The following is a 12,029-nucleotide window of genomic DNA, read 5'->3' on the forward strand; positions in this document are numbered from 1 at the left end:
AAGTAAGAACACATAGTTTCAAAGAAGTCAGCCGGTAGGAGTGGGATTTGGGAAACTTTTTGTTTTGCCTTTGTTGTTTGCTACTGATCACCTGCGTGCGAGGGAGGCTTCTTGGAGTCAGGTGGGTACATGTTAACTTGAAAGAAGCGCTCCGTCTGCCTCCGGCCACTGCCTCTTAGGAGCTCAGCAGTAGCAAGAAGCTATTACATAGGGTTAGGATTCGAACCTGTGCTGAAGCCTTATAAGGGGTCACATGGAGCCCTCCCTTCTTTTCCCTGCAGACACCTGTGGTGACTTGCTGGTGACTCTACAGTCCCTGAGCCGCCAGGGTGAGAAGCGGAGCCTCCAGCTCTCCGGCAAGGTCAACGCCATGACTTTCACCTTTGACAACGTGCTCCCTGGAAAATACAAAAGTAAGAATTGGAATGCAACATCCTGTGGCCCTCACACACTTCTTGTCTTTGTAAACTTTCTAAAACTCAGGTCTCAAATTGTATCACGACCATGTACCTTTCCTTGTTTTAAGTCGTCTTTGCCTCGTGACCTTGACTGCATTATTTAGCGTTGGACAAGCATGGAGGAGTCCAGGCCCTGAGCTGACCGCCACCTTGTCTGCACAGCCCACTGGCGGCTTCTGTTAAGGGAGGGTGCCCCGACGTATGGCATTTTATTTCTAAAGCCCAGAGAAAGGAGTGTGAAATAGTTCCACTGATGTGTTCTACTAACTTAGCAGTACTGGTGCTGAGTACTGGCCATGGCAAGGTACTTGACCTCCCTGAAACTCAGTTTTCCCATCTGTAAAATAGACATAATAGAACCTTTCTGCAGAATATAAGACTAAAAGAAGTAAAGTTTATAAAGCCCGTTGTGCAGAGAGCCAGCTAAGTAGCTGGTGCCCACAAATGTTACTTCCCTTTTCCTTGCCCTTCTTAAGAAGCCACTTCTTGCCTGTATTTCTGCTTTTTCAGAAATCAGCTTGGGGCTGCTGGCAGTGGATAGCTCATAAAACAGACTGCTTTTTCTGGAATTATATTAATATTTTCTGTTATGGCAGGGCTTGGCAGACTACAAAAACTGCCTTTTATAAGCGTAGTTTCCTTAGAATACAGCCTTGCCCATTTGTTTATGGATTCTCTATGGCTGCTCGTGTGTAACAGTGGCCAAGTCGAGTGGTTGAGGCTGACAAAGCATGTGGCCTGCAAAACTGAAAAGAGTTACAGAAAAAGTTTGTGGATCCCTGAATACCTTACTTGCAGCCTGATCTTACAGGCCCCATTAGATTTCTTTCTTGATGTAATGGAAATTGGTTCCAGTTTTTCTTTCTTTTTTTTTGAAATTTAGCCTCGCTCTGTCACCCAGGCCGGAGTGTGGTGGCGCGACCTTGGCTCACTGCAACCTCTCCGCCTTCTGGGTGCAGGAGATTCTCTTGCCTCAGCTTCCCGAGTAGCTGGGATTACAGGCATGCACCACCATGCCTGGATAACTTTTGTATTTTTAGTAGAGATGGGGTTTTGCTATGTTGGTCAGACTGGTCTTGAACTCCTGGCTTCAAGCCATCCACTGCCGTCGGCCTCCCAGAGTGCTGGGATTATAGGCATGAGCCACCACGCTCGACTCCAGGTTTTCTTTAGCAGTAATTTATTCCAAATACTGCTAGTTATAAATATATGTATGTGTATATTTCTATCTTTATGTCTACATACACACCTGCTTTTTAAAATTAGTTAATTCATGATCATTGTTTCTGGTGGCGTGCAGGGAGGTGGTGTGCTCCACGCCCATGTATCCGTTTTTGGTGTTTGCTTTTGCAGTAAGCATCATGCATGAGGATTGGTGCTGGAAGAACAAGAGCCTGGAGGTGGAAGTGCTGGAGGATGACGTGTCTGCAGTTGAGTTCAGGCAGACGGGCTACATGCTGAGATGTTCCCTGTCTCACGCCATCACTCTGGTATGTACGGCTTATGGAGTCTCTTATTTGGAAAAGCGCTTGCCTTGTGGATGTCAAGAAAGACTAACATCCCAGGAATATTGTAAACGTAGGCAAGTCAGATTTCCTTTTCTGCCTCTGCACTCACCCACCTGTTACGCAACGCATAATCAGGAAGCATTTATACTCTCTCAGTGGAAGGACCCCTGTATTTAGGAGGTTTCCTTGTCCTGGCCCTACACTAAATCTGACTGGTGATTCGGGGTGACCTTTGGTACAGTGTAGAGCACACTGGCTTTATATTATTAGTAATAATAGCTTTGGGTAAATTCATTTACTGCTTCTCAGCCTCAGTTTTCACCGAAAATTGAGATCTTAATACCTACTTCTCAGGGTTATGGCAGGGCTTAAGTGAACCCTCTTAGGTATCAAAGTGTCCTTGGTGTACACCGCTCTGTACTGCCAAGTGAGTTTCTCTGATATATATATATATATATATATATATATATATATTTTTTTTTTTTTTTTTTTTTTTTTTTTGAGATGGAGTCTTGCTCTGTTGCCCAGGCTGGAGTGCAGTGGTGCAATCTCGGCTCACTGAAACCTCCGCCTCCCGAGTTCAAGCGATTCTCCTGCTTCAGCCCCCCGAGTAGCTGGGACTAGAGGTGCGTGCCGCCATGCCCAGCTAATTTTTTTCTTTTTTTTTTGTATTTTTGTTAGAGACAGAGTTCCACCATGTTGGCCAGACTGGTCTTAAAACTCCTGACCTCAGGGGATCCACCCGCGTTGGCCTCGCAGAGTGCTAGGATTACAGGCGTGAGCCATTGTGCCCCACCTTCTCTGGTGTATTTGTTCCAGTGCAGGGGAAGAAGCTGTAAACAGGATCTTAGCTTCTTGTTGACTGTGGTCTCTGTGGCCTGAAAGGCAGTGTGAAATGGGTTTCAGGAGCACCTCTGTAGATCCCTTCGTGAATTTTCTATAATGTTTTGATGTCGAGCGGCGGCAGATGTCATCGTCAGGTCTTAGTTTCTCTGTAGAGAAACTAGAAGAATTGGAACTGGTGTTTCATGTGCCAACTTACTCCCCTAACTGCTTAATTACAAAAACTCCACAGGTCGATTTGTTATAGGAGATCGATTAATATCCGGTTCATAATAAGTGATAGATATTTAGGAAACCTTTCCCTTCCAGCAGTGGAGTGGATTTCCAGCTCTCTTGTAATAAGATCCTTTTTTTTTTTTTTTTTTGACACTTCCTTAACCCCTTCTTTATCTCCTCCCACTGTCCCCTCACTCGCCGGGCCCCAGCCACAGTGGTCCTCTGCAGTCCCACACCAAGCTCACTCCCTCCTCGGGGCCTTTGCACATACTCTCCCCTCTGCCTGGAGTGCTGTGACTTCTCCAGAAACACGTGTTGTTGGTTTTTCCTCCTCATTCAGGTGCAGCCCTATTGTTCAGGAGAGATGTGCCCTGGGACCAGCGAGCTAAAGACCCCTCGGTGGGGATTGTTCTTCTCTTGCTTTCCTGTTTATTTTCACAGCTTCGTTACTGACCAGTTGAGATCACTAATTTATTTGTTGTTGCGTTGATTTTGTCTTCCTGTATTAGAACATAAGCCCTGTGAGAGCAGGAGCCATGGTCATGACTCCCAAGGCCCAGCCTTGTGTCTGTCACATAGCAGGTGCTCAATAAATATTAGTTGATTGAATGAAAAATAGCACACTTTTGTTGGAAGTTTTGGGAGGTTTTTAATTTTCCTGTGGCACCCAACTGCTCCAATGATTAATGGGCAAAACAGATGACTGGTTTGGAAAGAGAAATATTATTAATCATCTTGGTGTCTCCATCTCTCTTAGTAAGTCATTGTATTGGCTTTGCTCCCTTAGGAATTTTATCAGGATGGAAATGGGCGTGAGAATGTGGGGATTTATAACCTCTCCAAAGGAGTCAACCGATTCTGCCTGTCCAAGCCTGGTAAGTTTGGAAGGATTGATGTGCCATGAATTAGAAAAATGGAAAGGCACCAGAGGATGGTTTTGAAGGCATTTTTTTCTACCTTGGTTCTGTTTGCATCAAGCTTTCAATTTCTGTGTGTTCAACCTGCTCTTGTTTTTCTGTCTGTCTTGGGTTTGAGTTGGGTAGACACCACTGGGCCCTTTCACCTCCAAAAATATACCATTGGCCAATGGCCTCTCTTTATAGAGCTGTTTTAAAATTTGAATCATTTCCCACTTTGCTTAAAATCTTTCAGTGGCTTCTCGCTCTTTCTCATTTTTTTTTTCTCTTTCTTTTTTTGAGATGGAGTCTTGCTCTGTCACCCAGGCTGGAGTGTAGTGGCTCGATCTTGGCTCACTGCAGCCTCCGCCTCCTGGGTTCAGGCGATTCCCCTGCCTCAGCCTCTCGAGTAGCTGGGATTACAGGTGCCCACCACCACATCCGGCTAATTTTTGTATTTTTAGTAGGGATGGGTTTCACCACATTGTCCAGGCTGGTCTCAAACTCCTGACCTAAAGTGATCCGCCCGCCTCAGCCTCCCAAAGTGCTGGGATTACAGGTGTGAGCTGCTGCACCCAACCCTCTCTCTCTTTTATAATGGCTTTTTTTGGAGGCAGAATTTGCATATCATAAAACTCACCTATTTAAGATGTACAATAAAATGATTTGTAGTAAATTTATCAAGTTGCACAACCATGGCCAGAATCCAGTTTTAGATTTGTTCATCACCCACAATGTAAGATCCTCTGTGCCCGTTGACAGTTAATCCCTGTTTCTAGCCATGGCCAGCCACTGATCTATTTTCTGTCCCCATGGATTGGCTTTTTTTGGACGTTTATCATACGATGCTGGTATTTTGTTTGGCTTCTTTTATTTAACATGTTTTTGAAGTTTATCTGTGTCATGGCACATATCAGTAGTTTGTTCTGTTACATTGCTGTGTAGTATTCTGGTGTGTGGTTATATCATATTTTGTGTATCCATTTATCAGTTGGTGGATATTTGAGTGGTTTCCAGTTTGACGCTGTTATGACTAATGTTACGGACATTCTTATACAAGTCTTTGTGTCCGTATGTTTTCGTTTTTCTTGTTTCGATACCTAGGAATGGAATTGCTGCATTGTGTGATAAGTTTATGTTTAACCTTTTAAGAAACTGTCAAATTGTTTTCCACAGAGGCTGTGTCATTTGATATTCCCACCAGCAATGCACGAGGGTTCCGGTTTCTTCACCTCCTTCGCCAACATTTGTTATTGTCTGTTTTATTATAGTCATCTTGGTAGATGTGAAGTCGTGTCTCATTGTGGTTTTGTTTTGCATTTTCCTAATGAATAATTCAGTGGCTCCTCCGTTTGGTTCCCAAGATAAAATACAAACTCCTTAACCTGATCTTAGCTCCTGTGTAACCCAGCCCTGTCTGCCACTGTCTCTACTCCAGCCACTCTGTCCTTCTGGGTGTCAGTTCAGCTGCCTTTGGCTACATGTAACAAAATCCATACAGCAGTGCCATTGGCAAGTGGTAGTTTATTTGGCTCAATAAAGAAGTGTGGCAGTGCGTGGCTGCCAGCATGGGTTCAGCAGCTGGTAGATGTTAGGGGTGGTGTCTTTGTGATTCTTTAGGCCTTTCCCTTCTATTTTTTGCCTTGTATTTTCAAGATGGCTGTGGTTAGAAAACTTATGTTTAAAGGAGGAAGTCAAGGAGAGGGCAGGCAAACATTTCCTTGCGCCCCCTCCTCCAGTAAGCTACTTGTCTGTATTATTGGCCAGAACCGTGCCACATGGTTACTTCTAGCTGCAAGGGAGGCTGGGACAGTTGGATGTGCTACCCGAGGCTGAGCACGTTGCCACCCTCAACATAACCAGGGTTTGTTCTCAAGGCAGGAAGGATGCCTGTTGAGGAAACAATGAGCCAGCCTGTGAGGCAGATGCTGTTCTCTGTGGACATCTCCTCCTGCCCCTCCTAGCTGGGGCCTTCTTACCCATCAGTTCAGTATTGCTTCCTGGGGAAGGATGGCCTCCAGGGCCACTTAGGCCTGCCTCCTACACTCTTGCTCTCAGCACTCACTTCTATCCCCTTCTTGCATGTGCCACAATTGATATGTTTGTGGCTGTCAAATGCTCCCCCTCTCTGTGGATGGTAAACTCCATGAAGACAGGGACCACTGCTCTGTCATTCCCCACTGTGTACCAGTACCTAGCATAATACCTGGCCAGGAAGAGATGCTCTGTCGATATTTGTTGAATGAAAGACCAAACAAAACAAACAGAGAAACCTGATTTTTTTTTTTTTTTTTTTTTGATGGTAACTACTCTGGGGCTTGTTGAGTGCAATGAAAACAGCAGGGTGGTTTTAGCTAATTTCAGGTTTTTGTAGGAAGTGTGGCCAAAATACTGGTTAATGATGATTTGGGGGAAATACATTGTTATTCCTTGTATCTTCCTGAAATTGACTGTGTTCCTCTGGCAAGTGATGAAATGTACCCCTACTCGGAGTGTCCTCCCACACAGACTCACACTTTTCTGGGGCTTCCCTTACTCCTTACCTCCTTTTTAGGAATATTTATAGGAAGAAATTGAGGCTGTGGTTATCTCTTGGATCCTTAATAGAATCTTTTAAGTAGGAAATTATCCTCAGTCCAATTTGCAGTAGAAACGTACTTTCTGTTCCTTCTCGTGCATGGGTCCGTTCACCTGGTCTGTGCAGATTTAACTACTGTGAGTTGTTACCTTATGGAAAATGAAAATCATGCGCCTGTGATCGGGCCATTGCATGGATCGGGTCATTGGTAAGACGCCTTCATAGGCAGTGAAAACGATGCCTGCCCAGTATTTCTGATCCCATTATTGCAGATCTGCGATACATTTGAGTTTTCACATGCAAAGAGCTGCCACTCGATTTCAGATGTCGGAATTGCTCAGTGTAATAGATGCCATTCTCTGAAAATTACTTTTGATTTCCTGTCTGTAGGTGTGTACAAAGTGACCCCTCGCTCCTGCCACCGGTTTGAGCAAGCGTTCTACACCTATGACACGTAAGCCTGGGAATTGAATGCTTTGTGGTGTTTGTATACATTCCGTGGAGGATTCTTCATTTACTTCAGAGAACAAAAGGAGTTTTTCTGTTTTTTTTCTGAAAGAGGCAAGGTTAGGCCTTCAACAGCATTTCTAGATAAGGATTTTAAGACACTTGGATTAGTTACTGAGGAACCGGAGACAGGATCCCTTTCCCAAGAATTCTGTAACCCCAGGATAGAGGGCTGTGTTTTTGAAGTGCCTTAAATAGAAGCTTTGTCAAATCTCCCAGCCCTCACCGATGGGCATCTGTCAAGTTCAAGTCTGCCATTTTTGTATTTTTACAGACGTGTGTGGGTTTCACTGGGAATTGGAAGCATAAAGTTGTGGAGTGGAGAATTAGTTTACTCTTTAAAATACTTCTCTGGATCTCCAGAGTTATTTTACCCCAGACTAAAAGCAATTTTCTGTAGTATATTTAGGGTGAAGAAGGATGCCCAAAAAGGGTATTGCTGATGATCTTCTGAGAATGAGTAGGTTCTAGCGTTTCCTCTGCTTTGATTTGTAGGTCTTCACCTAGTATCTTGACATTGACAGCCATTCGCCACCATGTCCTTGGAACTATCACCACCGACAAAATGATGGATGTCACTGTGACTATCAAGTAAGATGAGCGTTCTGCAGTGGGCCGAGAGTGGCGGGAGAGGGTGTGGATGAGGCCTGGGGAGTCTCTAATAGGCTCTCTGGAAATTAGTTTTGATTTCTTATCTCTAGATGTATATACAAATGGCCTTCCCTCTCTTATAGGACATTGCCGTCAATTCCCAGCAGCCTTGATCCTTTCCATTTCTGATTCAGAAATTACCTGTGGGTGAGGAAGAGCGTTGCGACAGCTTGTTTCAGTGTCTTCAATTTCTGTTTGAACTCTTTGTACTTCTCATCTTTGCTAAGGAAAAAAAAAATCTCTGGGGTTTGTGCATTGTATTTCAAGTGTTTTAGCAAATTCAAATTGCCTATTTTTCTTTAGACTTTTGCTTGAAGGCTTGGGAAATAGAGATGGCACCTGGTATAAGAGAAGGGTCGTGAGAGAGGAAGTATTTGAAAGGCAAGTCCCTCACCGAAGGTCACGTTCATGTGAATGTCACCTTTCAGGGAATTTTTGCAGTGTGGTGAGGTACCTGTGACGCCCCAATTTTCTTGAGAAATGAAAGAGTTTTGGCAACATGACCGTCTCTGTCAAGTAGAATGGGCATTGCAGTCCCTGTCTCCCTCCTGCCCCTGGTTGAAGTCACCTTTCCAGCTATGTTTCCATCTTTCTGTCCACCATCTGTTTATCCATCCGTCATCCCTGCAGAGTACATGATGACTGAAAAACTGAGAGTCTTCAGTGTTTAGGCACTGGGCTTATGAGGCCACAGCCCCTACACTTATGGGATTGACAGTCTCATGGGGGGAACAGTGGTCAGATACTCACATGCAGAACCGTAAAATGACAACTGTTCTGAGTGCTTTGAGCTTGACCTTGGGGGCATGCAGGACAGGTAGGCTGCGGGGGGCCAGGCCATGTTAAGGTCCATAGTCTTTGTCCCATGATGCAATTGACATGTTTTACATAGAGGAATGACATTTTTCTTCCTGAAGGTCCCCCTATTGGCCGAGTGGAGAACAGACAGAAGAGGCCTGAGAGTGGGAGGTGGTGGAGGCAGGGGGAGGCAATGGGGGCCCCAGACTAGTGGCTGCGGAGATGGAGAGCGACGGACTGGTCGGAGAGTCGTTGAGGGACTGAGTTGATGAGACATGGCACTAAAGTGACCACTGGGTTAGGGCGGGAGAAATGTCAGGGCTGGCCCTGGTTTCTGGTGATGGGGAGCCAGGTTTTTAGCTGGGGGTGGATTTGCCGAAGGTCTGTTGCTGTCTTTTACTATCATTTACTGTCTCCCTGCTTGGAAAGTATGAATTACTGATAGGACTAGCAATCTACCTTCTTACCAGTAGTAACTGCATGTTACCTCCTTTCAGCTTGATTACATTCATTTTTGTAACTTCACAAGGGTGTTTGTGTTGCTTGCTTGTGCCGGAGGTTGTATGGAATGCATCTTCCAGCTAGACAGAGCCACTCGGATTCCCCTGGGAATCGTGTACTCAGCAGACCCAAAACCCGACTGCTGACAGTTGCCCTCCATGAGCCCCTCTGTGGTCTTTTCTGATTCAGATATGGCAGCTCCCGCTTTCTCCTTGTTTCTTGATTCTTATTTCCCTTGAACCCTAGGCCCAGCCAATTCCCCAACAAAGCCTTGGCTTTACAATCAAAATACACCCATCATCTAGTCCCTTTTTACCACTTGGCCCTCAGCCTTGGTCTGACCCCCCTCTGGGGTCACTGTAGCAGCTTCCCAGCTGGCCTTCCCTTCTTACCACGTGGCCCTCAGCCCTGGTCTGACCCCCTCCGGGATCACTGCAGCAGCTTCCCAGCTGGGCTTTGCTTCTTACCACGTGGCCCTCAGCCCTAGTCTGACCCCCTCTGGGATCATTGCAGCAGCTTCCCAGCTGGCCTTCCCTTCTCACCACGTGGCCCTCAGCCCTGGTCTGACCCCCCTCTGGGATCACTGCAGCAGCTTCTCAGCTGGCCTTCCTGTTTCCGCCATTGCTTTGTGTATTTTCCATGAAGGAGCAAACGATTTCTTTTATCATACCATTCCTCGACTGAAAACTCCAGTGGCTCCAGGTCGGCACCAAGCCTGTGAAGCCTCAGTCTGACATCTGCTGCCCCTTGGACCTCTCTGTTGGATATGACTCTTCCGTGGGCCCCTGTGCCCCAGGCTGGACTGGTGTTGCCATTGCTTGAACATCTGAGTGAGCTTTCTCTCCAAGGACTTTGCACTTGGCATCGCTTTGCCCAAGCTACTGTTTACCCAGAGAGCTGCGTGGCGCATTCTCTCCCTTCCTTCAGACCTTTGCTCAATGTCACCTTATCAGAAAGGCCTTGACTGTCCCTTTAATGTAAAACAGTGCTCCGGGCTCTCCGTCTTCCCACACTGCTTTATTTTTCTTTATTGCACTTTTCCTCTGGTATTATTTTTCTCTTTATTTTCAGCCCCTTCCCACTGAAACGTGGATTCCACAGGGGTAGGAAGTGTGGTCTGTTTTGTTGATGCTGTATCCTTGGTGCCTAGTTCTCTATCAGAGCAGTTCTCAGCGAAGGTAGAATGGAGAACAGAGGATGGTGGTGTGGAGAAAACTCCGTGTCCTACATGGAAGCTACAAGCTTATATCCAGTCGCCATAAAATCAACCGTATTTCATTCCAGCCCAGATCTACCAGATACTGCCACCATCACTGCGAAGCTCAGTTGTTATTTTTTGTGAAACTACTAGTTTATTTAAAACAGAAGACTCCGCCACTGTGGTGTCATGATAAGATGTCCAGTTTGTAACTCGCAAGTCCATACTCGTAGAAAGGTCAAATTCCCACTGACCACAAGGATACGCAACCACGTCCTAGGGGCCGCCATTTCTTTCTTCTAGGTCTTCCATCGACAGTGAACCCGCCTTGGTCTTAGGCCCTCTGAAGTCTGTGCAGGAGCTGCGGAGGGAGCAGCAGCTGGCTGAGATCGAGGCCCGCAGGCAGGAGAGGGAGAAAAACGGCAATGAGGAAGGTGAAGAAAGAATGACCAAGCCTCCTGTGCAGGAGATGGTAGATGAGTTACAAGGCCCCTTCTCGTATGATTTCTCTTACTGGGCGCGGTAAGCTCTCTTGTGCGTTTCCCTACAGTGTCCTCTGTTTTGTGGGGATAGGACCCGCCAAACTGAAGTATATTAATTATTTTAGGTCTGGAGAGAAAATCACTGTTACACCGTCATCTAAAGAGCTGCTCTTTTATCCCCCTTCAATGGAAGCCGTTGTCAGTGGAGGTAAATGTCAACTCAGCGAGCGAATGTCACACACACCTTTGCAGTTGTTCCCTTGCCTGCATTTACAAGTAGATTTGTGATGTTATAGTGAAGCCATCTTTGTAAGCCACCTTACATCCTCTCTGGCACACAGATGTTACTGTTGGTTGGATGGATGGATGGATGGATGGATGGATGGTTGGGTTGGATGGATGGATGGATGGATGGATGGATGGATGGATGGATGAATGAATGATTTAGATAAATAAAAGTAACTTTTGCTGTTAGAATTGAGTTGATCTTTTTGGAAAAGGACTTGGTTTTCTTTGACATTATCAGGTCGACACCAGAAGGTAGATGAAGCACAAAGCTGCCAGTGATGATCTTTAATGATCTTTCTGTTGTTTGGCAGAGCATGATGGGAGGGTCTTTTTTTGGGGAATGGATGACTGAAGTGATCACTTGTGGAGTATTTGTCTTTTGCCACTTATTATTTTTTTCCCAGCACTCTGGCTTCGTTAAGTTGTGGGTGTTATGTGGTTCGCGTTTGGAAGCAGAGGGTGTTGAAGAGCGTGACTTCTAGCAGGCAGGCTGTTTGGGGCGGTCTTTCTCAGTGGGTCCTCCAGAGGCTGAGCAGCACGGCCTCCTGTCTGCTGTAAAGTGTTCCCTCCTGATCTGTGGCCTCCTGAGAACCTAGGAAGAGTAGTAGTAAAAACCCAGCCTTCAGCGTTTTTTGATTCTCTTGCTAAAGTCCTTCACACTGAGAAAGGCCTTTCAGGGATGGAAAGAGGCTTGGGCTGTATCCGATTATTGAGCTCCCCGGGGTGTTAAATAACCGCATTTGGAACTAGCTTCTAAGATCTGTTTTAGCCACTTTTGTCATGGGAAACCCCCAACCAAGAAGCTCCTGTCTCTGCTACCAAGCCCCATCCTTGTGTTTATTTCTTCCCCTCTTAGAAAGCTGCCCAGGGAAGCTGATCGAGATCCACGGGAAGGCAGGCCTGTTTTTAGAAGGCCAGATCCACCCCGAGTTGGAAGGAGTCGAGATTGTCATCAGTGAAAAGGGGGCAAGTTCACCGCTGATCACAGTCTTTACTGATGACAAAGGTGCCTACAGGTGAGCCCGGGATAGAGACACATTTGCCTGGGATCAGCGTGGGAGTCCTCTGAAGAAACTGGGGCCCACATTTCCTTGGGCTTGGTAAG

The 12,029-nt window shown here is 46.0% G+C and overlaps 1 protein-coding gene across 2 annotated transcripts in view, besides 1 other annotated feature; it reads left to right on the top strand.

Moving 5' to 3' along the window:
* The window catches only part of NOMO3 (NODAL modulator 3), a 62,284-nt gene that overhangs the window by 30,704 nt on the left and 19,551 nt on the right, over positions 1–12,029 (top strand). For both annotated transcript variants that reach the window (NM_001004067.4, XM_005255318.2), the window contains exons 14-21: positions 282–413; positions 1,812–1,948; positions 3,813–3,900; positions 6,890–6,953; positions 7,502–7,597; positions 10,458–10,676; positions 10,762–10,844; positions 11,781–11,940. In NM_001004067.4, the coding sequence (NP_001004067.1) occupies positions 282–413; positions 1,812–1,948; positions 3,813–3,900; positions 6,890–6,953; positions 7,502–7,597; positions 10,458–10,676; positions 10,762–10,844; positions 11,781–11,940 (979 nt within the window). The remainder of the gene's footprint in view (positions 1–281; positions 414–1,811; positions 1,949–3,812; positions 3,901–6,889; positions 6,954–7,501; positions 7,598–10,457; positions 10,677–10,761; positions 10,845–11,780; positions 11,941–12,029) is intronic.
* Positions 9,401–9,695: an enhancer, noted in NCBI's record as "tiled region #11301; HepG2 Activating DNase matched - State 11:FaireW, and K562 Activating non-DNase unmatched - State 24:Quies". NCBI's record gives its function as "activates a minimal TATA promoter and a strong SV40 promoter by Sharpr-MPRA in HepG2 and K562 cells {active_cell/tissue: HepG2 | K562}" and the evidence as "EXISTENCE:reporter gene assay evidence [ECO:0000049][PMID:27701403]".

Source organism: Homo sapiens, chromosome 16 (assembly GCF_000001405.40).
Source record: "Homo sapiens chromosome 16, GRCh38.p14 Primary Assembly".
Classification (NCBI taxonomy): domain Eukaryota; kingdom Metazoa; phylum Chordata; class Mammalia; order Primates; family Hominidae; genus Homo; species Homo sapiens.